Here is a 25850-nt window from a genome sequence, read left to right on the forward strand (position 1 = left end):
GAGGCCTGACCCCAAAGCTCACATACTCTGCATTCCTCCAGGTCTCACGGAGAAGGGGGAGGGCTTCCTGGTCCACTCCAGCTGGGGGCGCTATGGCCCGGCAGACCAGGGTCCTCCAGTGAGGAGCTCTGGACCAAGGTCTAACTTGGCTCCATGTACTGCTGTGGGCTTGCTCCACCCAGTGCCAGGGGTAGGTCAAGGTCAAGGGGCCTCTTAGGCATCTCCTAAGGGCATGCTACTATCCAAATGTTTGTGTCCCCACTAAAGGTCATCTGTTGAAATCCTACACCTTAAGGTGATGATCTTTGGAGGCGGGGGCCTTTGGAAGGTGATTTGATGAGAGGGTGGCACCCTTATGAATGGGATTGGTGCCCTTATCAAAGAGGCCCAGAGGTGAGGATGTGGCAAGATGGCACCTTCTACGAGCCATACCTCTCACCAGGGACCAAATCTGCTGGTATCTTGAACTTGGGCTTTCCAGCCTCCAGAACTGTGAGACAGAGAAATAAGCCAGGCGAAGTGGCTCACCCCTGTAATCCCAGCATTTTGGGAGGCTGAGGTGGGTGATGACTTGAGGTCAGGAGTTCTAGACTAGCCTGGCCAACATGGTGAAACCCCATCTCTACTAAAAATACAAAAAATTAGTCAGGCATGGTGGCGCATGCTTGTAATCCCAGCTACTCGTGAGGCTGAGGCAGGAGAATCCCTTGAACCCGGGAGGAAGAGGCTGCAGTGGGCCAAGATCGTGCCATTGCACTCCAGCCTGGGGGGAAAAAGATAGAAATAAATCTCTTGTTTGTAAGCCCCTCCGCTTTAAGGTGTTTTGTTTTCGCACCTGAACGGACTAAGGGACTAAGGGACCAGGAATCATCCAGGCCTCAGCTTCCCAAAGCACTCCCCACTCCCCAGTTCCTACAGGGCCCCGACCCCAGCCCCAGCACCCGTCATTCACATTTTTTACTTACAAAGGAAACTTTGAAATGGACACTTCCTGTTACTTTCATTCAATGAAAAAAATCCCCAGCACTTGAAGGCAATCATACAGAAAGCCTGCAACAACGCAGAGAGTAGACTCTTCAGGTGGTGGTGCCTGCTTTAGGCTGGCTCTCCCCGGGTCAAAAGGGACGTGATAAAGTGTTAAAGTGATGTTAAGGATCAAGTGGGCACCAACTGCGACTCCCCTCCCACCCCCCGACTTAACAGATGTCAAGGAAAACAGAAGGAAGCCGTTTCTCTCCAGGACATGCAGTGTCTGCTGGAGTTTTGGAAAAATGCTTTCTCTCGAGTCGCTGCGGGGAGCTCCCAGGCTGGACCCCCCCGCACAGGTCCTCCGCCATCGCCCTCCCAGCCCCCGCCCCCAATCCCCCTCCCAGACCCGGTCCCCGCCCCCATCCCCCGCCAGACGTCGTCCCCACCCCCATCCCCCTCCAAGCCCCGCCCGGGAGGGCGTCCTGCCCGCTCATTGGGCCTCCCGCCGGCTCATTTGCATGGTCCGAGGGGGGCGGGGCTGACGTCGCGCTGGGAATGCCCTGGCCGAGACACTGAGGCAGGGTAGAGAGCGCTTGCGGGCGCCGGGCGGAGCTGCTGCGGATCAGGACCCGAGCCGATTCCCGATCCCGACCCAGATCCTAACCCGCGCCCCCGCCCCGCCGCCGCCGCCATGTACGACGCAGAGCGCGGCTGGAGCTTGTCCTTCGCGGGCTGCGGCTTCCTGGGCTTCTACCACGTCGGGGCGACCCGCTGCCTGAGCGAGCACGCCCCGCACCTCCTCCGCGACGCGCGCATGTTGTTCGGCGCTTCGGCCGGGGCGTTGCACTGCGTCGGCGTCCTCTCCGGTATCCCGCTGGGTGCGTCTGGGGACGCTGCCCGGGCTCCACGTGCGGAGTGGGTGCCCCCTAGGCCGGGGAGCGGGGGATCCCCAGGGGTCGCGGGGCCCTGGAGGAGCGGGCATCGGACGCGGACACGGCGGGGTGCATCCCGAGGGCCCCCTCCGAGGCAGATGCTTCCTGCGGGGGCGCTGTTCCTGGGCCCGGGAAGGGGGCGTTGGAACCCCGAGCGGTCCGGGCCGAAGCCTGGGACTCTCGTGCGTCCCCACCCCTACCCCCATCAGGCGCCCGTGCATGAAGGGAGACCCTCACCTCCGGACTGAGAGTCGGAGCGTCTCGGAGCGACGGGGAGTAGGGAGCGGGACCCGGGGCGGAGGGTAGTGCTGGCCCCTGCGGACTCCGGGTCCCCTGTGTCCTCTCGGGAGGGGCTGGACGGGCTGAGCTGCCGAGGGGCCGATTTGCCCTGGGCCGGACAAAGAGTGGGGCTTTGGCCGGTCCCCCACGGTGGGCTCCTTCCCTCTGGGGATTGAGGGACTCAAGACACCCCGCGCCTGCGCTTTTCTTTTCTTTTTTTCTTTTTTTTTTTTTGAGACGGAGTTTCGCTCAGTCGCCCAGGCTGGAGTGCAGTGGCGTGATCTCAACTCACTGCAAGCTCCACCTCCCAGGTTCACGCCATTCTCCTGCCTCAGCCTCCCGAGTAGCTGGGACTACAGGCGCCAGCCACCAAGCCCGGCTAATTTTTTGTATTTTTTAGTAGAGACGGGGTTTCACCGTGTTAGCCAGGATGGTCTCGATCTCCTGACCTCGTGATCTGCCCACCTCGGCCTCCCAGAATGCTGGGGTTACAGGCGTGAGCCACTGCTCCCTGCTGCCTACGCTCTCTGGGTCGCAGCCCAGCCTTCTGGGGGCTGGGTAGCCTCCCAGAAGGGCAACCCTGGGCATCCTCCAGGGCAGGCTAACTGGAGTCTAGTGGGGAGGGGTACCTTGAAAGAGGAAAGTTGTTTCCTCCTCCTCCTCCTCCTCCAGTGTTTGGGACCCTTCCTGGGGGCTGGAGTGCATCCCTGGACACCCCCCAATCCCATCCTCTTCTCTAGTTTCCACTGACCTAGGCCCACCCTCCCCTCTCCGGCTCAGTACTCCTGGAAATGAGATTCCGTACATTTGAATCTTGTCCTAATGAAATATTTGTCCATGTGGGTACCTGTGTGTGTGTGGTGGGGGTGCAGACGGAGGGTTTGTTTCTCACTAGCTGGAACTACTGGGGTGTGGTATGCTTCCTGGGAATTTGTGTGCCACAGTCCTGGAGGCGAGGAGGGGGTTGTGAGCCAGTAGGCAGGGGCTGGGGCAAGTAGCATTGTGAAGCTATTGACACCCAGACGTCCCCAGGCAGGAGATTATGCCCCCATTAGCCCCCTTTTATCTGGGCTTCCTTAACAATGGACTCTTTGCCCTGCCTGCCAGAGCCAGCAGGGAGTGACTGTTCAGTGGTGAGGAAGCGGGCAGAGGAAGCCCTGCCATTGGGTAGGAGCAGTGGGCAGCCCCTGGGCTGACTGGGAGGTGGGGATTAGGGATTAGACAGTCCTGGCTGTCTGCCTTCCCCTAAGCCAGGGGGAGAGGAGCAAAGGGCACGAAATGTGGCCTCCAGGAGGATTAGACCGCCACATGATCATTTGCACACCCTGGGGTTTAGCAACAATAAAAGTCAGCTTTTTTGTATCCCAAGGTGGCCTGTGGACACCCACATGGACAAATGTTTACACTGGGACAGAATTCAAATGCAGAGGTCCCAGGAGCCTAAAGTACACTCACTCTGGTATAGAAAGGATTCCTTACTGGGCAGAGGACAGGTGCAGCCTGGGGCTTTCCCAGGCAGGACACAGGGAGGCTCAGGAACCACCAAGTCCCTGGAAGGTGGATCTGGAGGCGTTGGCAGGAGCCACTCCCTGGGTTCCAGGGCTCCAGGTTCCTGCTTTAACCCCCTGTCTCACAGAGGGCTGTGCACTTGGGGGCTGCTGAGCATGTCCCAGAGGCTGCATCCTGGACACAGCACCTCAGTGCATCTGAGCTGAGGCTAACTTGGCAGGAGGGACAGGCAGAACCTGCCAGCCACGTGCAATTCCACCCCTCTGGCCACTCAGGGAAGGAGAGCTGTGAGTCAAGATCAGATTTGGGTCAGGACAGGCTGGGGCCTGCCTGTCCCTGTGCATCCCAAGATTTATGGCTGGCCAGGGGTTGGGCTGGGAGGGGTGGTCTTGCATGCCAGGAGAGTGCAGATCAGCCTGAGAGGCCAGGCCAGTAAGTGAGGTCAGATCTCCTGCACCTGATAGCATTAAGGCCATCTACACCAAAGCTCTAATGCTGATATGTTCCTGGCCTCTATGTGGGGCATGGAGGTGGGGCATGGAGGTGAGGCCTGCTCGCCTGGGCTTCTGGAAGTGGGAGACTCATTCCTGTGGCTGAGGCCTACAGCAGTGCTGTGTGGTAGGAATACACTGGAAGCCATGATGTCATTGTGCATTTTCTAGAAGCCACATTGAATAAAGTAAAAGACACAGGTAGAATTAATTTCATTGAGCCCAATATATCCAAAATAATATCATTTTCACATCTATTCAATATAAAAATTTACTAATGAGATATTTCATACTAAGCCACTGAAATCCAGTTTGTATCTTACACATCTCAGTTTTGACGAGCCACATTTCAAGGGCGTGATAGCCACATGTGGCTCCCATAGTAGACAGTACTGGTCTAGAGAAATGTTGGTGGCATCCTTGCTGTCTGGTTTCTGGCCTTGCCAAAAGTATTACCATCCCAGTGTGGTACATTCTTTCATGTATTTGTCTCCTGTCCCCAGAGCAGACTCTGCAGGTCCTCTCAGATCTTGTGCGGAAGGCCAGGAGTCGGAACATTGGCATCTTCCATCCATCCTTCAACTTAAGCAAGTTCCTCCGACAGGGTCTCTGCAAATGCCTCCCGGCCAATGTCCACCAGCTCATCTCCGGCAAAATAGGCATCTCTCTTACCAGAGTGTCTGATGGGGAAAACGTTCTGGTGTCTGACTTTCGGTCCAAAGACGAAGTCGTGGATGTAAGCAGTTTGCTTATCTGGACGTTGTCAAGTTAGAAAAGCTGTTTTGGGATGGGTGTGGTGGCTCATGCCTGTCATCCCGGCACTTTGGGAGGCCGAAGCGGGTGGGTTGCTTGAGCCCAGGAGCTCGAGACCAACATGATGAAACCCAGTCTCTACAAAAATTACAGAAAAATTAGCTAGGCATGGTGTTGTGGGCCCATAGTCCCAGCTACTAGGGAGGCTGAGGCAGGAGAATTGCTTGAGCCTGGGAGGTGGAGGTTGCAGTAAGTCATGATCATGCCACTGTACTCCAGCCCGGGTGACAGTGAGATGCTGTCTGGAAAAAAAAAAAAAAGAAAGACTGTTTTGTTTTGGAAGCAACACAGGCAGTTGTAGGCCCCCTGTGCCAGAGTGACATAAACTCTGTACACCTCCAGTGATTTGGTCCATGTTTGTAAACCCTGAATGTTCCAGGGCAGTTTCTTTTCTTCACTTTTTATCTCTTTTTTTTGGGTGGGGGGGCGGGGTACAGAGTCTTGCTCTGTCTCCCAGGCTGGAGTGCAGTGGCGCAATCTCAACCTCCCGAGGAGCTGGGACTACAGGCACAGGCCATCACACCTTGCTAATGTTTGTACTTTTTGTAGAGACGGGGTTTTGCCCTGTTGCCCAGGCTGGTCCCAAACTCCTGCACCCAAGTAATCTGCCCACCTCTGCCTGGCAGTTACAATTTCAAATAATTCCTCCCTTTCCTTCAACACTTGGCTCATGACCGTCCAGTCCAAGGAACCTGTCCTGCAGGTGTGCCTCTCCCGAGCTTCCTCTATGCATCTTCCATAATGAAGATGCCTTCTCACTGGAAACCCTACAAGGGTGGGAACGTGCCTTATTTGCCTGTATCCTCAGGGTCTAGCAGAGAGAAGATAATTTGTAATACCAAAACACCATTAAATTCAGCTGATGCTTTCATAAGCGCTCCTTGGAGGAAGGACTCCATTTACTTGACAGATCTGTGCAAGACAGCAGCCTGGCGCGTCTAACCTGCAGCCAGTTGCATCCTCTGTTTAACCTTGTTTGCGGAAGCTTTCTCTAAACAGCCAGCACTTGTCTGTTCCCACATGGGTCCGTTCTCCCAGTGAATCACCGTGGTGCCTGCTGACTGCTCTGTAGCACAGTGCTTCGCAAAGTGTGATCCTGGGACCAGCAGAGCAGCAGCTCCTTTGAGCTTATTGGAATGGCAGACCCTCAGGTCCCACCTCTGACCTGCTGCATGGGAATTCTGGGGAGGGACGCAGAATCTCTGGTTCCACAGGCTCTCCGGTGATGCTAATGAATACCGGCATTTGAACAGCACCGATCTAGCCCCTTTCAGTCCATGAGCCAACAACCCTTGGTCCTGTCTGTGGTGACCCAGTGTGACTCTCATGGGGAGCAAGGAGAGGAAGTTGAAGTTCACTGACAGGGTTGTTAAGGGGATTATGCAATAGATGAGACCCATGGGCCTGAAGTCCGAGGGTGTATGTTAGTTCCCCGTTCTTTTGACCCATGGATTAACCTACTCTGTGCAAAGGGCATTTTCAAGTTTGTTGCCCTGCTCACTTGGAGAAAGCTTATGAAGGATCAGGAAAATTAAAAGGGTGCTCTCGCCTATAACTTCTCTCTCCTTTGCTTTCACAGGCCTTGGTATGTTCCTGCTTCATCCCCTTCTACAGTGGCCTTATCCCTCCTTCCTTCAGAGGCGTGGTAAGTCGGCTTTCTCTGCTAGCGCTGAGTCCTGGGGGCCTCTGAAGTGTGCTCACACATCTCCTGCCTGCAGGGCACTGGTGTCGGGCACCTCAGGGTCTGTCCCATGGTGGAGCCCCATGCCTCACTGCCTTTCAGACAGAGTAGCCACAGCTGGCCCTATTTCCAGGCTACCCGGGCAGCAAAACTTACTGCATGTGTAATTAATTATTTGGCTATCTGTAAGGTAAACTGGCTGGTTCACTTAATCTGCACCTTAAGCATCAGATAGCTTCTCAGTGATCTAGTTAAACTATATGATGTTGGCCAGGCGCGGTGGCTCATGTCTGTAATCCCAGCACTTTGGGAGCCTGAAGCAGGCAGATCACTTGAGGTCAGGAGTTCGAGACCAGCCTGGCCAACAGTGTGAAACTCTGTCTCTCCTAAAAATACAAAAATTAGCTGGGCATGGTGGTGTGCACCTGTAATCCCAGCTGCTCGGGAGGCTGAGGCAGGAGAATTGCTTGAACTTGGGAGGCGGAAGTTGCAGTGAGCCAAGATCGCACCACTGCACTCCATCCTGGGTGACAGAGCGAGACTCTATCTCAAAAAGAAAAAAAAAAAAAAGGTAAATAAAGTATATGACACTGAAGAATCTGTTACCCCTGGAAGGTGGAGCTTTACTCTTAGGGGGAACTATAACAGTCATATATATATATTTTTTTCTTTTCTTTTTTTTTTTTTTTGAGATGGAGTCTGGCTCTGTCGCCCAGGCTGGAGTGCAGTGGTGCAATCTCGGCTCACTGCAACCTCCACCTCACAGGTTCAGGCAATTCTCCTGCCTCAACCTCCCGAGTAGCTGGGATTACAGGTGCCTGCCGTCACGCCAAGCTAATTTTTGTATTTTTAGTAGAGACAGGGTTTCATCATATTGGCCAGGCTGGTCTCCAACTCCTGACCTCAGGTGATCCGCCCGCCTTGGCCTCCCAAAGTGCTGAGATTACAGGCGTGAGCCATGGTGCCCGGCCAACAATCACATGTGTTGTAAACAACAACAAAAATCTGTCAGCCTGGTCTAACCTAGATTTGTGCTTTGTTTTGTTTTGCCACTTTGTGATGCACAGGAGGAAGTTTAGGCTGTAAAATACTAGCCTTTTAGGGTAATTTTTGAACTCACAAGAGCAGCAGCGGAACCTTTGATGCAATCCTGTATGTAGCACCAGCAGAGCCACGTGGCAGAGGGACTCGCATTAGGAGCCTCCCATTACAGACTACGTGCTCCTGTGCGTTATCTTATAGGGTCCCCACAACCAAGGGGAGATGTGATTATTCATCCTGTGTGGCTGTGGGGAACTTGAGAGTCATACTTGCCCAAAGAGCACGGCCAGCGAGCTTGCACCCAGGTCACTCTCTGCTCCTCTGTCAGAACAGGGCATGTCTTGGTTCACTGCAGGGCGGCTCTTCTCATTCTCTGTAGTTTGGGGTCCAGGATAGTGGTCCACGGAGCCACTGGAGTGCCCAGCTACTGAGTGACCAAAGCATATTTTGGATTTCCGACATTGCCACAGCATGGTTGGGCATCAGCAGGACCCCAACCCCTTGTTATGCTGGTGGCTTTATGTGGTTATTTGATCTTCCCCAGAACTCAGCAGGAGTGCACCCAGCAGCACCGTAGTGATGCTCTCTGGCTCCCCAGTGCACGGTTCTGGCTTTCCTTCCTGGTCGAGAGTTTCAAGCCCTCTGGGTCCTACTCTGTCCTTTTCAGCCCATAGCTTTGTTCAAAAGCTGCTGGCAGTGTTCAGATTTGGCTGAGTTCAGTGAATATGTGCATTGGCTGATTTCTGAGCCATGCCAGGGGGATGGAGAAGCCGAAGCAGGAGTGTTTGTTCTGCAGGCTCTGGAGTAGGCATTGGGTCTGTGCCGGCTCACTTGCTAGTCTTGCATCCTTCCCCAACCCCCTCTGGGGATGTCTGGCCACATCAGAAGACAGTTTGGGTTGTCAGAACTGGGGGAGTACCAGGCCGAGGTGGGTGGATCATGAGGTCAGGAGATCGAGACCATCCTGGCTAACACAGTGAAACCTCATCTCTACTAAACATACGAAAAAAATTAGCTGGGCGTGGTGGCGGGCGCCTGTAGTCCCAGCTACTCGGGAGGCTGAGGCAGGAGAATGGTGTGAACCCGGGGGGCGGAGCTTGCAGTGAGCTGAGATCCTGCCACTGCACTCCAGCCTGGGCAACAAAGCGAGACTCCGTCTCACAAACAAAACAAAACAAAACAAAACAAAATCTGGGGGAGTGCCACTGGCATCTGATGTATAGAGGCCCGAGATGCTGTGTCATCACCCGTTGAGTGCGCTCATAGGCATCTTCCTGACAATTAGAACCCATTATTCTTCAAATTCAATGCAAGCAAATTCAAAGCATTACTGTGTACATACCGCATGCTAATCAATTGCACCACTGGAGCTCCTAAATTCAAAACATTACTATAAAAAAGTTCAAAATGCATGGAAAAGTTGTACATGGCAGGAGAATATTTGGGCTTCTGACTACCCCTTGAATGAAGATGATCCACCAGCCGCCTTCCTCCTTGGTCTTCACTCCAGATTCCTAGCATTTCATTCTGTGTCTCTTTATGCAGTGAGGTTTTTGTTTGTTTTTTGAGACAGAGTCTCACTGTATCACCTAGGCCTGGAGTGCAGTGGCGCGATCTCAGCTCACTGCAACCCTCGGCTCCTGGGTTTAAGCGATTCTCCTGCCTCAGCCTCCCGAGCAGCTGAGATTACAAGCACACATCCCCATGCCCAGCTAATTTTTGTATTTTTAGCAGAGACAGGGTTTCACCATGTTGCCCAGGCTGGTCTCGAACTCCTGGCCTCAAGTGATCCATGTGCCTCAGCCTTCCAAAGTGCTGGGATTACAGGCGTGAGCCACCATGCCCAGCTCCTAGTGAGGTTTTTGATGCCTTGCTACATCTGCCCTAGAAATTGTGTGACTACGATTTTGGAAATGTTGCTGTGTAAACTTGTGATCATTTCTGGACTCCAGGCAAGAATCTTGATGGCTAAGGTGTGGCTGAACATGTCTGATTCTCTCCTGGACCTGTTTTAGGCCAAACTCTGCTCTGAAATTCCTCCGTGTGGAAGGGCGGGCTGGGGAGAGCCTCCCAGCTGGAATCTTTTGGATGCCTTTCTCTGTGGGTATCTGATGGCTGGCTCTGATGGCTGGCTGTGATGGCTGTGGCTGGAAATCATTGTTGACATGAGTTTCACAGATGCAGGCTCTGTCCAAATTGTAGCAAAAGCTGCCTGCCCCAGCCGAGCTATGGGCAATAAGGTGGTTTAAGGATATAGATGAAGGAAAACTCACCCTTAGAATAATTTATCCAAAATGCTGCTGTGTTGTGGGTTAGAGGACATTTTCTGAGGTCCCAGGTTCATTGTTTCATTTAAGTCTCAAAAGTCCCTCCAGGTGTTGGTTCTAATTGTCAAAGCATGGGGGGAGATGGGCTCATGGGTTAAAGGTCTTATCCCAGATTTCTGTATCCTCCTTGCAAGCAGCAAAGGGGTCTGGATTTGAATCCATGACCATGTTTCTCCTTTGGGTTTCCATCACACTCTGTCCCCGTGCACTGAGCACCCTTTAGTTCATATGACCCCCTTAGGCATGTTACATGGGCACTCCTATAGGTGCCCATCTGGCCCTAGGACTTGGCCAACACAACATGGACTCCAGTTTCCATCTGCCTCTTTGCCAGGCACTTTTGTGCAGTGCACACACTGTACAACAGTAGACGGCAACCCTGAGAGCCAGAGTAGAGCCTGTCCTAGCACCGGAATGCTCGGTAAGGATTTGTCGCAGGAGTGATTCCAAAGCCAATGTCCTCCCTCCATATCAGCCTGTTTGTGGCTCTGAGAAGCTCTGCCCACATGTGAAAGCTTGTTAAGCACTTAAGCACTAACCCAGAGCTTCAGACAGTGCCAGTCCTTTTTCCCCTTCTTTAAAAGCGATATGTGGATGGAGGAGTGAGTGACAACGTACCCTTCATTGATGCCAAAACAACCATCACCGTGTCCCCCTTCTATGGGGAGTACGACATCTGCCCTAAAGTCAAGTCCACGAACTTTCTTCATGTGGACATCACCAAGCTCAGTCTACGCCTCTGCACAGGGAACCTCTACCTTCTCTCGAGAGCTTTTGTCCCCCCGGATCTCAAGGTGAGTTGGTGGTGAGGGGGCAGGTGTTCTGGGGTGCAGCTCTTCTTTGCCTCCCTGATTGCCAGGAGCTACCAGTTACTGTCTGCACAATCAAACAGAAATAGACCTGTCCTTGATGGTTAACGGAAATAAAAGGCGCTTGTCCCAGAAGCTCAGGTGAGGCACCACCCTGATTATGGGAATCACCTGGGAACATATACCCAGACCTAAAACTCAGATCCACTTCCCAGGCTGTGGTTATATAGTCAGGGGGGTGCAGTATGGGTATTAGGATTTTTTATTTTTTAGTTATAAAGATTTTTTTTTGGTTTGTTTTTGAGACAGGGTCTTGCTCTGCCGCTTAGGCTGGAGTGCAGTGGTGCAATCATAGCTCACTGAAGCCTCAGACTCCTGGGTTCAAGCAGTCCTCCCACCTCAGCCTCCTAAGGAGCTGGGACCCACAGGCATGCAGCACCACACCTGGCTAATTTTTAAAAATTTTGTGGAGTGTTGCCCAGGCTGGTCTCACACTCCTGGCCTCAAGCGATCCTCCCACCCCAGCCTCCCAATGTGTTGGGATTACAGGCATGAGCCATTGTACCCAGCCACTAAGATGATTCTTATTTGGAAACACGGTCAAGAACAACTGCGTTCGGTAGTTTAACCTTTTTTGATTGTGGTGGTTTTAGTATGCCTTACCACTCTACCATAGTAAGAAATTTGCAGACCATGTACACCAACCTTTGGTGCTCCTGGGGAGAAAGAAAGAAGGCTATGCAATGCAATGCATGCTCACAGTCCAAGGGAGAGGGAAAGCTGTCTAACAGGATTGGTTTTCCCGTGTGCTTTATAAGCAGATGAGTAGAGGAGACAGCTCTTATTGTCCTAGTGGCAATTGGGATAGGCTGCAAAGTTTGTTAGGGTGGAGGCTTATTCCGGGACCAAGGGAGCCCAAAGAAACAAGCTCCTGCCAGGCGCGGTGGCTCACGCCTGTAATCCCAGCACTTTGGGAGGCTGAGGCAGGTGGATCACCTGAGGTCAGGAGTTTGAGACCAGCCTGGCCAACATGGTGAAACCCCGTCTCCATGAAAAATACAAAAATTACCCGGGCATGGTGGCGGGCACCTGTAATCCCAGCTACTAGGGAGGCTGAGGCAGGAAAATGGCTTGAACCTCGGAAGTGGAGGTGGCCGTTAGCCGAGATCACGCCACTGCACTCCAGCCTGGGCAACAGAGCAAGACTCTGCCTTAAAAAAAAAAAAAAAAAAAAGAAAAGTAAAAGGAAAAAAAAGAGGCTCTGGCCTGCTGGGGTGCCTGCAAAGTCTCCGTGGAAGGGTGACATTCAAGCCGAGACCTCCAGGGAACTGTCTCCTGGGAGCACAGAGCCCTTTGCTCAGCCCCCAGGTGGCTCAGTGCCCCCAGCCAGCAGACTCAGAGCTTGCATGATTCTTTGGTGCTCTCTGCGGTCTTCCAATGATGCTGAAATAAATGGTGCTTGGTGTCTCCCTGCTGTAGTCCCCTTGCTTGCTTTGCTCACAGGTGCTGGGAGAGATATGCCTTCGAGGATATTTGGATGCATTCAGGTTCTTGGAAGAGAAGGGTATGTATGGGCTGGGAGGATCAGCCATGCCCTTTTGACAAGCATTTACTAGCGGTCTTGGTAAAGACTTGAGATTTGCCTTAGTTCTAACACTTAGTGCCCAACGCCTTCCTTGTGTTGCTCAACCTACTCATGAGCCCAGGAGATAGGAAATCTCCGTCCCATTGTACAGATGGGGAAACAGAATTTTGGAAAGGAGAGCCAAGCAGCACACACCCCTCCCTGAGGGGCAGAGCCGAGATTTGAACTGGGATGTCATGACTCCAGGGCCCTCTCCCTCCCCAGGGTCCCCTTATCTGAAGGCGGTTTTTCTTTCCAGCTCGACCTCTTGTGACCCTTAGTTTAACAAGGGCCGAAGTTAAAGAGTTTCTGCGCCTGGACCCCAAATGAAGCAATCAGATTTCTCATCTCCAGTCAGGTGTGGGTCCAAGCCCACTAGACAAGTTTGCTCTTCCCAGAGCACATTTCTGCCTTCAAGTCATCCTGGCTTGTCAGGGCTGGGGGAGTTCTGCTGTAGAAATATTAGAGTGGAAGGAAAAAGATGTGTTGGGAGCTATTTTTCTTTAATACTAAAAGTTGGTTGATGAATTTGTCGTTGGCCAAGACCAAGGAGACTGCATTTTTAAGGACATATGTGTATTTATCTGCTCAGAAAATGTTCATTGCTGTGTGCTAGGGATACTGCAGTGAACACAGAGGTGTGACCCTTGCCAGCCTTGTGAGAGAAGTGAGCAGATAAGTAAGCAGAAGGGTGATGCTGTGTCGATGGGAAAGTACAGGTGCCAATGAGAAGGCACAGGTGTCAAGGAGAAGACACAGGATGCTGGAGGCTCATGCAGGATGGATCTCCAAGGCCCAGGGGAAGAAGGGCCTCTCGGAGGACGTGAATCCACATTAAGACTTTGGGGATAAGTAGGAGCGCCTTAGGCATGGGGACCCATGGATGCGAGGCCTGTAGGACACAGACAGGATGGCATGAAGGCCTGTGCAACTGGAGGGGTGGGGATGGGGACACTAAGAGATGGCTGGAAGTGTGGGGGTGGGGACACTAAGAGATGACTGGAGAAGAGGGGGTCAGGAGTGGTGAAAAATGGGAGAGGAGGGCAGGCTGGGCCTTTTGGATACAGGGGGATTGCATCCTGCAGTGGTAGGGAGCCACTGAGGGCTGCTGCAGTAGGAGTGAGGGGATCAGAGGAGAGCTTTGGAAGCCCCCTGGATGCGGGACAGGAAGCGAGATACCAGTGTCTAGGAGGCCAGTGAGGCAGCCACAGGCTCCACCAGGATCAGGGCTGCGAGGGTCATGAGGAGGAAACCAATTTGAAGGAGTCCAGGGGAATAGGACTTGGAAATGACCGATGGGACATTTGGGAAGAGGAAGACAGAAGAGCGCAGTCCCGGCTTCTGGCTTTAGCAGTTGGGCAAGGGGAGATGGGGAGATGTGCCCATGGGTTGAGGGTTGAGGACATTAGGAGGGAGCCGGTATGGCAGGAAGAGCTGGTGTGCCAGAGATGCTGGAAGCAGCATCTGCCTGAGAACAGATACCTGGCAATATTCCTAAGGGAAAGTGACATCTCGGAGGGTGAGGAGGGCATCTGATAGGGCCTGGAAAGAGCCGGGGCAAGCATGAATGTGAGGTTATCTTGGGGGGCAAGGCTCAGGCGTTGAGGAGCAGCCCCTGGTCTCTTCAGCCTGAAGTTGGAAGCCAGAGTTGGGCCAGGTGCAGCTGTGGTTGTCTGAAGTCCCCCTCCCCCAGCCCAGTGTGCCAATGCTGTAAGAGCAAGGGCCGCTCACTGGTGCTGGTGGCTGAGTCCCAGCACCCAGGACAGGGCCTGGCACATACTGGTGCCCAATCCTCCCTTCTGGGTGCTTCTTCCAAGGCCTTGTGATGGAAGTGAGTACCCTCTTCGACATCAGACCCAGCTTCAAATCCTGGCTCTGCTATGTATTGGCTGCGTGGCTTTAGACAAGTCTTTTAACCTTGCTGTGCTTCTGATTTCTCAGCTGAAAAATGGAGATGATGATAGTGGTTTCTGTAAGGCCTTATGGTGAAGCACCTAGCTCAGGGCCTGGAAGGCAGGTGTAACCAGTGGTTCAGTTGTTATAAACCAACACTAACCCTCGCCTTTGCACCTCATGAAACCAGATATGTAGATGGAGCCCACAAAGCTAGCAGGAGCCAAGCTCACGTGTGTCCTGCTTTAAAGCCCCATACCCCTTTCTCCGGGTGACAAACACCTGTGCTCGTTCTCTTCCCTTCCCCTCTTCCCCTTGCATTTGGCTAATAACAGGCCAGCTGCCTGCCTCCCTGCAGTTTGGTAGATGGGTGGGTAACGACCACCACTCCCACGTTCGCCTGATGGGCTTGTTTTCCGTGCCCTTCACAGGCATCTGCAACAGGCCCCAGCCAGGCCTGAAGTCATCCTCAGAAGGGATGGATCCTGAGGTCGCCATGCCCAGCTGGGCAAACATGAGTCTGGATTCTTCCCCGGAGTCGGCTGCCTTGGCTGTGAGGCTGGAGGGAGATGAGCTGCTAGACCACCTGCGTCTCAGCATCCTGCCCTGGGATGAGAGCATCCTGGACACCCTCTCGCCCAGGCTCGCTACAGGTACCCACTCCTCGGGGTGAGCACGGGCAGCACCTTGTTTTCTTTCTTGTGCATTATGGAGGAAGATGGTACTGCCACATGGGAGCGATAGGGTGAGGCAACCATGACAGGTGGTTGGGAACATCTCCTTCCATGTGTACAGCCTGGGCTGCTGCCATCACTCCCAGCACAGCCCCCAACCCCCCCAATCCTGGAACCTTGCCAAGTCTCCCTTCCCATGGGGTCATGACCAGGAGGAAAACAAACTCCAGCTGAGCCCCTTGGGGTTCCCCATATAGGCTCCTGCCTGTGGCAGCTGGGCCCTCTGTACCCCTTTCCAACTCTGTCTCCCTAACATGGCACCTGAGCTCCTGCCATCCTGGATTTCATGGACCCCAAGGATGGGGGTCCTGCATCTGGGACTTGGCCTATTACTCGGAGCTCCTTTTCAGCCGCCTCCCTCCACCTGTCCACCCACCTCAAGGCTCCTTTCTTGAGACCTCTCCTAATTTCTCCCTTCCCCTAAACCCACAATTTTGAACCTCCATCGAATGGTGCTGTATTTTATAATGTCATCAAATATCAAATGGAGACAGTGCTATGGTCCAAATGATTGTGTACCCCCCAGAATTTGTCTTTTGAAATCCTAACCCCCAACATGATGGTCTTAGGAGGTGGGGCCTTTGGGAGGAGATTAGGTCATGAGGAAAGGGCTGTCATGAATGGGATTGGTGCCCTTATTAAACAGACCCAAGAGAGGTCCCTTGTCCCTTCTACTGTGTGAGGACTCAGAAGGTGGTGTCTATGAAGAAGCAGGCCCTCACCAGACACCAACATGTCTGCTGCCCCTTGATCTGGGACCTTGCAGCCTCTAGAACTCTGAAAAATCGATGTTTGTTGTTTTATAAGCCACTCAGTTGGTGGCATTTTGTTAGAGTAGCCTGAACACGGACTAAGTCAAACAGAAGAACCCACAAACCAGCTACAGAGTTGGGCATTTGGAGAAATTCAAAAATGAGTCAGACATAACTCCTTATTCTTGAGGTGCCCTAAGAGATGGGACACAGCAGCTGCCCAGGTGCATTAGTTTGTTCTCACATTGCTATAAAGAAATACCTGAGACTGGGTAACTCATAAAGAAAGAGGTTGAATTGGCTCACAGTTGCACAGGCTGGACAGGAAGCATGGTGCTGGCATCTGCTCAGCTTCTGGGGAGGCCTCAGGAAACTTACAATCATGGCAGAAGGTGAACGGGAAGCATGCACATCCCATGACTGGAGCAGGAGTGAGAGAGAGAGGGAAATAGAGGGAAGGTGCCATACACTTTTAAACAACCAGATCTCATGAGAACACATTCACTATCAAGAGAACAGCACCAGTGGGGAAATCCGCCCCCATGATCCAATCACCTCCCATCAGGCTCCGCCTCCAACACTGGGAATTACAATTTGACATGAGATGTGGGCAGGGACACAGATCCAAACCATATGACCAGATTAATACGATTTGAGGCATCACGAGGTCATTAAAGAGAGGGAATAAAAGACTGGGGCTCCAGGAAGAAGGCTCTGGAATCCAGCAGAGGGTCAAGGACCAGCTTGTAAAGCTGGTGGTGCCTGAGAAGTACCTAGGAGAACATAGATGCTGTGACGTTTGATGTAGCTGTTTTTTGTTTTGTGTTTTGGTTTTTGAGACAGAGTCTCACTCTGTTGCCCAGGCTGGAGTGTGCAGTGGCGTGATCTTGGCTCACTGGAGCCTCCATCTCCCAGGTTCAAATGATCCTCATGCCTCAGCCTCCTGAGTTGCTGGGATTACAGGTGCACACCACCACGCCTGGCTAATTTTTGTGTTTTCAGTAGAGACAGGGTTTCACCATGTTGGCCAGGCTGGTCTTGAACTCCTGACCTCAAGTGATCCAACAACTTCAGCCTCCCAAAGTGCTGGGATGACAGGCATGAGCCACCATGCCCAGCCTGATGTAGCTGTTTCTGTGCACATTATTTGCTGTGGGGTATATTCAGATTTCTTAATACAAGATGATTCTTTGCCTCATGACTTACACACCATTTTCTATTTAATTTCAGCTATGATATTGGAAATGGACATGTCTTTTCAAGGAAAATAAAAGCAGGCTTTCTGGAATGGCGACTTCCAAACATATTTGTCAATTTAAAGGAGCTGGGAGTGGGGACCCTATGCTCCGTAAGCACTCTCTTAGCTGTTCTTGGCTGTGCTCCCCGCTTCAGCTTCACACTGCCCTTGCTGTGAAGGGAGCAGCCTGGGCCGGGCGCGGTGGCTTACACCTGTAATCCTAGCACTTTGGGAGGCCGAGGTGGGTGGATCACCTGAGGTCAGGAGTTCAAGACCAGCCTGGCCAACATGGTGAAACTCCATCTCTACTAAAAATACAAAAAATTAGCTGGGCATGGTGGCAGGTGCCTGTAATCCCAGCTACTTGGGAGGCTGAGGCAGAAGAATCGCTTGAACCCAGGAGGCGGAGGTTGCAGTGAGCCGAGATTGCGCCATTGCACTCCAGCCTGGGGGCAACAAGAGCAAAACTCTGTCTGGAAAAAAAAGAAAGGAGCAGCTTGGCAAACCCCACCTTGTCGCTTTTGTGAGTGCCTCTGACCCTTTGGCTGCCAGGACGGGCGTATTTTATGGAAATGCTAAGCACCAACAGAGTAAAGTGGTTTGGTTTTTCACAGTGGTGGGAGATAATAGCTCCAAATTGTCTTTTTCAGCACTGAGTGAAGAAATGAAAGACAAAGGTGGATACATGAGCAAGATTTGCAACTTGCTACCCATTAGGATAATGTCTTATGTAATGCTGCCCTGTACCCTGCCTGTGGAATCTGCCATTGCGATTGTCCAGAGGTGAGCATTTTAGGTGGCTCCGTGTCTTCCTCACAGGGTTGATATGAGGATGAAACAAGATGATAGATCATGGTGGCATGTAGTCTGGGACCTGGATTGTCGTGCCACAGATCACAGCTCACAGTCTATGTGCAATGCCCCTGAATGTTGCCCACCTGTCCTCAAGCCACACATGCACCTGTAACTCAGTGCAAGCCCAGAAACTCCCCGTGGGGACTCCTAGAGCTGTCAGTGGCCTCACATAGCAGCTGGTCCAGTCTCTTGTGATTGCCCAAGGAAACTGAGGCCTGGAGAGCTTGGGGTCACTGCTCTGAGGCCATAGAGATGCCTAGTAGAAGGGCCAGGCCTAGAAGCAGGATCCTTGCTGCCCCTCTGAGCTGTTTCCATTTAAAATCACATGAAGGCCGGCGCCGTGGCTCACGGCTGTAATCCCAGCATTTTGGGAGGCCAAGGTGGGTGGATCATGTGAGGTCAGGAGTTTGAGACCAGCTTGGCCAACATGGTGAAATGCCATCTGTACTAAAAATACAAAAATTAGTGGAGCATGGTGGCACGTGCCTGTACTCCCAGCTACTTGGAAGGCTGGGGCAGAAGAATCGCTTGAGCCTGGGAGGCAGAGGTTGTAGTGAGCCAAGATTGTACCACTGCACTCCAGCCTGGGTGACAGGAGAGAAACCCTATCTCAAAATAAAATGAAAGGTAATGAAATGAATAAAATAATAAATCAAGTCACGGCCGGGCACGGTGGCTCACACCTGTAATCCCAGCGCTTTGGGAGGCCGAGGTGGGTGGATAATGAGGTCAGGAGTTCAAGACCAGCCTGGCCAACATGGTGAAACCATGTCTCTACTAAAAATACAAAAATTAGCTGGGCATGGTGGTGCATGCCTGTAATCCCAGCTACTCCGGAGGCTAAGGCAGGAGAATTGCTTGAAGCAGGACCTAGGAGGCGGAGGTTGGTTGCAGTGAGCCGAGATCATGCCACTGCACTCTAGCCTGGGCTACAGAGCGAAACTCCGACTCAAAAAAAAAAAAAAAAAAAAATCAAATCACATGAAAGTAGAACATAGGGAATTCCATCTTTCGTTCTAGGCATAGTTTGTTAATATGATTCAGAGCCAGCAGTTAGGAGAACACAGTGTGACTCTCCTAGAACTTCTTGATTGGGCTTCCTCTGATTGGGTTTCCTCTGATTGGGCTTCCTCTGAAAGTGGGGGGGATGGGGGGTGGGGAGCAGAATGGTCAGAGCTTGGCTCAGCAGTCAGACTGCTCTTCTTCAAATCCTGGCTGCATTGCTTACTACAGCTGTGTGACTCCAGATGACTGAATCCACCTCTCTGTGCTGCAGCTTCCCGTCTAGAGAGATCACCTGGAGCAGAGGGTGGTCAGGAGACTCAATCTGGTTACTGACTCACAGTGCAGGAGTACTCATCCCATAGTAAGCATCCAGCTAGAGATGTTGATTTCTATTTTCAGGTAATAATGATGATCGTAAAATTAGAGACAGATAAAAGGTATGGGCATTAGGCCAGGGCACTGCAATTTCTAAGCTGTGTGACCTCAGGCAAGTTACTCGACTTCTCTGAGCCTCAGCGGTTTCATCCGCAATATATGGATAGGAAAACCGACCTCAGTGGGTTGTCTGACAGTGGAGGGCACTTGATTAAAAAAAAAAAAATTACCCTGGTCTGAATATTACCCTGGACTGAAAGAAAAATATTGAGCTAATACAGGCATCAGGAATGGGGCTGCAGGGAGTCCAGGGAAGGGAGAACGAAGAGCCTGAAGGTGTGAGGAGGTGCGAGTGCTGATCTGTCTGCTACAAAGAGGCTGCTGAGCCTCCTGTGGATGTGGCCCTGGACTTGGCAGTTTAATACCTGAGCTGTTAAAATAACCTCAGATGCTGTGTTCTTTAAGGGGTAGGATTCAGATTCCTGCTGAAATGCTTCTGAAAGGGAGGGAATGAGCCAGCCCATCCCCAGTTGCTTTTTAAGATCATTGGGAAGTTCTGGTCTTGCCATTTGTCCCTGGACCACTCTTAGGTCCTCCTGCCCCACTTCCATCTGGGTGTGTGCCCTGGGCTGTCCACCACACAGCTACATCCTGCCATCTTCCCTCCTGGAGCCACTGTGCCATGCATGGATCTGTAGCTTCATTTTTCTTGGCTTTTCCCTGGTTTTTCTGGAGCAGAGTCTCTAGTAAACTCCCAAGGAAGAAAACGTTTGACTTTATGTGTGTTGGGAAACGTGCTTTTTTTCTATTACATCTCAGTGATAGGTTGGCCATGTCTAGAATTGCAGGTTGAAAATCATTTCCTCTCAGTATATTGGTTAGTGAGAAGCCTGGGACTGAGACAGTCACATTCTCACTTCTTTGCAGGTGAGTGCTCTTAGGACTGTCTTTTTATCCCTTATACTCTGAAATGTCATATGTCTTGGTGTAAGTCCTTATTTCAGTTATTGAGCTGGACAAGTACTGGAGACCCCTTCAGTCAAAGCCTTCTGTCATTCTCCAGCTCTAGGAAATTATCTTCTATTGTTATTTCTGTTATTCCTTCCCTTCCATTTTCTTTTTTCTTTTTTTTTTTTTTTTTTTGAGACAGGGTCTTACTCTGGTGCCCAGGCTGGAATGCAGTGACCTGATCATGGTACACTGCAGCCTGAACCTCCCAGACTCAAGTGATCCTCCCACCTCAACCTCCTAAGTAGCTGGGACTGCAAGCACACATCACCACACCCAACAAATATTTTTTAAAAATTTTGTAAGATGGGATCTTACTATGTTGCCCAGACTTTTTCTTCCTCTTCCTGGGGCTCTTATTAGGAAGATGTTTGACTTCCTGGGTTGGATTCCTGTCTCCGTGTCTGACTTTCTCTCTTTGTCATATTTTTCATCACTCGTTGTCTTTTTGCGTCTGCTCTGACAGATTTCCTCAAATTTTGTCTTCTAGTCCTATCCTACAGTTTTTACTTTCAGCAAATATAATTTAATCTCCAAGAGTACTCTCTTGTTCTTTTTTCTTAGCATTCTGTTCTTGTTTTATGGATGTAACATTCTCTTGGAATATTTGCTGTCCTCTAGATCATCCCTTCTCCATTTCTTCTTGGGCTAGTTTTTCTGTTTCTTCATCTTTCTCTTTTATGCTACTTATTCTGGGCGTGTTCTTGGTGGGTTTTTTCCCATATAGCAACAGAGGACTTGGAGCTCAGGGAGAAAAGGGTAGGTGCATCACCTGGCAGAGCTCCCAGACAGTGACAGGCAGGCTGCGGGAAGGATGTCTACTTGGCGGTGCTACCGCTTTCCTAGAAACCCTTTCCCTGGAGCTGGTTGAACTGTTGGGTTTTGCCCTGGTGGTGAACGCTGGCTCCCCGTGCTCTGCCTGTTTCATCACCAGCCCCCTCCCCTTCTGCCTGGGGTCCAGTAATCTGTTGAAATATATATCTTGCTCATTGGTGAGCTCCTGCTCCTTCCTCGTTGCTCTTGCAGATTTATCACTTCTCGTAAGGCTGCGCTTGTACTTCGGGATTTTCTCTGTGCCACACTGGGAAACATAGGGTGGTTGCATGCTGCAGTCCTGAGCACTTATTTCACTCACATCTTTACACGAAGATTTGGTGGGTGTTTACTTTGTTTTTAGTAAGTTAGTCTGTCATGTCCTTTGATCCTTTTTTTTTGTTTTTTGAGATGGAGTCTCTCTGTGTCCTCCAGGCTGGAGTGCAATGTCGCGATCTCAGCTCACTGCAACCTCCACCTCCTGGGCTCAAGAGATTCTCCTGCTTCAGTCTCCTGAGTAGCTGGGATTACAGGCATGTGCCACCACACCTGGCTAATTTTTGTATTTTTAGTAGAGGTGGGGTTTGGCATGTTGGCCAGCCTGGTCTCAAACTCCTGACCTCCTGACCTGCCTGCCTTGGCCTCCCAAAGTGCTGGGATTACAGGTGTGAGCCACCACACCTGGCCCTGATTAATCTTTTAATGCCCAGTCTCTCCTTCAAAAGCCGGCTCCTTTCTCTCCCTCGCCTTCCTAGATTCCTTCTCCACTCCCCAGGATCAGCCTCCTCCTCCCCACCCCACCACTGCCGGGGGGATGTCTGTGGTCAGGCATTTATCAGAGACCCTGAGGTGGGGGTCCTTTATGTGTCTGGGGGATGGAGAGTCTAGAGGAGGTAGCGTTCAGACCTCTCCATGGTGCCTCTGCTGGGCTCACATGTGACCAAGCACAGCAAACCATGAGGCAGGGGATGGTCTTGACCATGAGAGCCCTTGCAGCAGCTGCCATGGGCCTCAGCTCCTCTCCAAGCTGGGAAGAGCCCTGAAAAGCCAAGGTGTTTTTTTTTCCCTCTTTATTTCAGTGTAAGTCCCTTGAGCTTTCTTGAACCAGAAGTGGGCTCATTTTGCTTTAGAGATTTCAGGTGGGCTTGTCCTTGTCCTAGCATCCCAGATCCACCTTCTGGGAAGTCATCAGATTGGAGGTGATGTTGGCAGCTTTTGTAAACAAAGGGTAGTGTTGTAAGCTGTTGTGTCTGCCTATGTGTGTGTTTGTGTACTTGGTCTCATCTCTGCAGACTGGTGACATGGCTTCCAGATATGCCCGACGATGTCCTGTGGTTGCAGTGGGTGACCTCACAGGTGTTCACTCGAGTGCTGATGTGTCTGCTCCCCGCCTCCAGGTAAATACTTTGGCTGTGGGTGTGTGGGCCGGACGGGCACCTCTCTCATCTGATGAGGCCTCACACGACATTCTAGAAACAGCTGGCTGAACACCAAGCAAGGAGCTTGCCCTTGGGTGTGGGGACCCTGTCTCATGGGAGGCAGCTGAGTCAGTCAGAGGTCCTGGCACACCTGCTGAGAGCTGCCACCCAGGCCAACCTGAACCGGAGCCTGGGAAGACTTCCCGTCGGATGAGTCTCTTTGAGTGCAGCATTGATGGTGGAAGAGCAGAGAGGCCCCAGATAAGCAGGGAAAGGTGCTTCAGACAGAGTGGCTGGGATGAGGACTGGGGAGTGTCAGATAGCGCTGGCGTGTCTGAGCGAAGGAGCTCTGGCACCCATGGCACAGGAAGGAGGTGGGACCCTGGAGGGGCAGGGCTAGCAGAGCTCCTCGGAGCGTGTGGCTAGGTGCCTGGTAATGCAAGCCCCCTGTCCTCCACCCTCTGTTGTACTGAGTCACAGTCTCCGGGGTGAAGCCTAGCAGTCTGCGTTGACAGGCCCCAGGGGATGCCGCTACTTCCTGAATTCTGAATTCTGGAAACTGAGCCGGAGTTCAGGGCCTGGCTCCCATTACCAGGGTTGGGCGTTATCCTGAAAATCATAGGCCTTGGTTTCCTCACTTGGCTAACAGGGGTGATCCCCATCCCCTCAATGGGTTTCCGTGAGCTCCTGAGAGCCCGTAGCATGGTACTTGGCACATGCTGGGCATCAGGAGGTATGGCCTCTCTTGCTATTGTTGTTATTGGTAGACACAGAAGGATTTAAAAGTAGGGGAATGCAAAGATCCGATTTGCTAGGGAAGAGGGCAGTAGTGGCCAAGTAGAGGGTGGATCCTGGGCCCTGGCTGGCAGCAGGCAGCAAGGGGGGCTGCCAGGGCCCAGGCAGGGACGATCTGTAGACCGAGAGGCTTCCTAAGGCTCTTGGACAGGAGGAGGTGTCGGTTCCAAGCCTAAGGAGTGGGGCAGCCCTGGTGACTGGTGGTCAGTGGTGCCAGGCGGTGGGTGGTAGGACACCCTGGCAGGCAAGTAGGTTTGTGTGGGGGAAACTGATAGGCCCCTCCAGGGATTCGTTGGTGGACAACACCTGTGATGTCCAGTGGGAGGTGTCCAGGTAGCTGGGAGGGCCACAGGCTTGGAAGACCTAGGTGGTGACATCAGCCCAGCACTGAGGGCTAGAAGAAGCTGTGTCTCTGGCTGTGACGGCACCCTAGAGTGTGTGTGGTGCCCTCTACTGGCCGGCAATGTGGGTCCACCGTAGCTCAGACTGCACACTGCAGCAGCGGGAACGGCCTCTAAGCCAACTTCCTCCATGTGTTTCAGGTCCCAAATGCCAGTGAGCAGCCAACAGGCCTCCCCATGCACACCTGAGCAGGACTGGCCCTGCTGGACTCCCTGCTCCCCCAAGGGCTGTCCAGCAGAGACCAAAGCAGAGGCCACCCCGCGGTCCATCCTCAGGTCCAGCCTGAACTTCTTCTTGGGCAATAAAGTACCTGCTGGTGCTGAGGGGCTCTCCACCTTTCCCAGTTTTTCACTAGAGAAGAGTCTGTGAGTCACTTGAGGAGGCGAGTCTAGCAGATTCTTTCAGAGGTGCTAAAGTTTCCCATCTTTGTGCAGCTACCTCCGCATTGCTGTGTAGTGACCCCTGCCTGTGACGTGGAGGATCCCAGCCTCTGAGCTGAGTTGGTTTTATGAAAAGCTAGGAAGCAACCTTTCGCCTGTGCAGCGGTCCAGCACTTAACTCTAATACATCAGCATGCGTTAATTCAGCTGGTTGGGAAATGACACCAGGAAGCCCAGTGCAGAGGGTCCCTTACTGACTGTTTCGTGGCCCTATTAATGGTCAGACTGTTCCAGCATGAGGTTCTTAGAATGACAGGTGTTTGGATGGGTGGGGGCCTTGTGATGGGGGGTAGGCTGGCCCATGTGTGATCTTGTGGGGTGGAGGGAAGAGAATAGCATGATCCCACTTCCCCATGCTGTGGGAAGGGGTGCAGTTCGTCCCCAAGAACGACACTGCCTGTCAGGTGGTCTGCAAAGATGATAACCTTGACTACTAAAAACGTCTCCATGGCGGGGGTAACAAGATGATAATCTACTTAATTTTAGAACACCTTTTTCACCTAACTAAAATAATGTTTAAAGAGTTTTGTATAAAAATGTAAGGAAGCGTTGTTACCTGTTGAATTTTGTATTATGTGAATCAGTGAGATGTTAGTAGAATAAGCCTTAAAAAAAAAAAAATCGGTTGGGTGCAGTGGCACACGGCTGTAATCCCAGCACTTTGGGAGGCCAAGGTTGGCAGATCACCTGAGGTCAGGAGTTCAAGACCAGTCTGGCCAACATAGCAAAACCCTGTCTCTACTAAAAATACAAAAATTATCTGGGCATGGTGGTGCATGCCTGTAATCCCAGCTATTCGGAAGGCTGAGGCAGGAGAATCACTTGAACCCAGGAGGCGGAGGTTGCGGTGAGCTGAGATTGCACCATTTCATTCCAGCCTGGGCAACATGAGTGAAAGTCTGACTCAAAAAAAAAAAATTTAAAAAACAAAATAATCTAGTGTGCAGGGCATTCACCTCAGCCCCCCAGGCAGGAGCCAAGCACAGCAGGAGCTTCCGCCTCCTCTCCACTGGAGCACACAACTTGAACCTGGCTTATTTTCTGCAGGGACCAGCCCCACATGGTCAGTGAGTTTCTCCCCATGTGTGGCGATGAGAGAGTGTAGAAATAAAGACACAAGACAAAGAGATAAAAGAAAAGACAGCTGGGCCCGGGGGACCACTACCACCAATGCGCGGAGACCGGTAGTGGCCCTGAATGTCTGGCTGCGCTGTTATTTATTGGATACAAAGCAAAAGGGGCAGGGTAAAGAGTGTGACTCATCTCCAATGATAGGTAAGGTCACGTGGGTCACGTGTCCACTGGACAGGGGTCCCTTCCCTGCCTGGCAGCTGAGGCAGAGAGAGAGAGGAGACAAAGAGAAAGACAGCTTACGCCATTATTTCTGCATATCAGAGACTTTTAGTACTTTCAATAATTTACTACTGCTATCTAGAAGGCAGAGCCAGGTGTACAGGATGGAACATGAAGGTGGACTAGGAGCGTGACCACTGAAGCACAGCATCACAGGGAGACAGTTAGGCCTCCAGATAACTGTGGGCGAGCCTGACTGATGCCAGGCCCTCCACAAGAGGTGGAAGAGCAGAGTCTTCTCTAAACTCCCCCAGGGAAAGGGAGACTCTCTTTCCTCGTCTGCTAAGTAGCGGGT

General features: G+C 52.0%; 1 protein-coding gene across 1 annotated transcript, besides 5 other annotated features; it reads left to right on the forward strand.

The window, feature by feature from the left end:
* Positions 1369-2113: an enhancer, noted in NCBI's record as "H3K27ac hESC enhancer chr22:44319500-44320244 (GRCh37/hg19 assembly coordinates)". NCBI's record gives its function as "activates a minimal SCP1, AML or CMV promoter by ChIP-STARR-seq in naive H9 embryonic stem cells {active_cell/tissue: H9 hESC(naive)}" and the evidence as "EXISTENCE:reporter gene assay evidence [ECO:0000049][PMID:30033119]".
* PNPLA3 (patatin like domain 3, 1-acylglycerol-3-phosphate O-acyltransferase) lies at positions 1554-25331 on the forward strand. The gene is made up of 9 exons (NM_025225.3): positions 1554-1847; positions 4684-4916; positions 6573-6638; positions 10627-10836; positions 12355-12415; positions 14800-15021; positions 17742-17874; positions 22440-22544; positions 23903-25331. The coding sequence occupies exons 1-9, from the start codon at positions 1661-1663 to the stop codon at positions 24129-24131; spliced, it is 1446 nt and encodes a 481-aa protein (NP_079501.2). The 5' UTR covers positions 1554-1660; the 3' UTR covers positions 24132-25331.
* Positions 2114-2856: an enhancer, noted in NCBI's record as "H3K27ac-H3K4me1 hESC enhancer chr22:44320245-44320987 (GRCh37/hg19 assembly coordinates)". NCBI's record gives its function as "activates a minimal SCP1, AML or CMV promoter by ChIP-STARR-seq in primed H9 embryonic stem cells {active_cell/tissue: H9 hESC(primed)}" and the evidence as "EXISTENCE:reporter gene assay evidence [ECO:0000049][PMID:30033119]".
* Positions 23559-23718: an enhancer, noted in NCBI's record as "active region_19192". NCBI's record gives its function as "activates an Ori minimal core promoter by ATAC-STARR-seq in GM12878 lymphoblastoid cells {active_cell/tissue: GM12878}" and the evidence as "EXISTENCE:reporter gene assay evidence [ECO:0000049][PMID:35858748]".
* Positions 23559-23952: a biological region, named in NCBI's record as "Sharpr-MPRA regulatory region 5125".
* Positions 23658-23952: an enhancer, noted in NCBI's record as "tiled region #5125; HepG2 Activating DNase unmatched - State 12:CtcfO, and K562 Activating DNase matched - State 8:EnhW". NCBI's record gives its function as "activates a minimal TATA promoter and a strong SV40 promoter by Sharpr-MPRA in HepG2 and K562 cells {active_cell/tissue: HepG2 | K562}" and the evidence as "EXISTENCE:reporter gene assay evidence [ECO:0000049][PMID:27701403]".

Source organism: Homo sapiens, chromosome 22 (genome assembly GCF_000001405.40).
Source record: "Homo sapiens chromosome 22, GRCh38.p14 Primary Assembly".
Taxonomy (NCBI): Eukaryota; Metazoa; Chordata; class Mammalia; order Primates; family Hominidae; genus Homo; species Homo sapiens.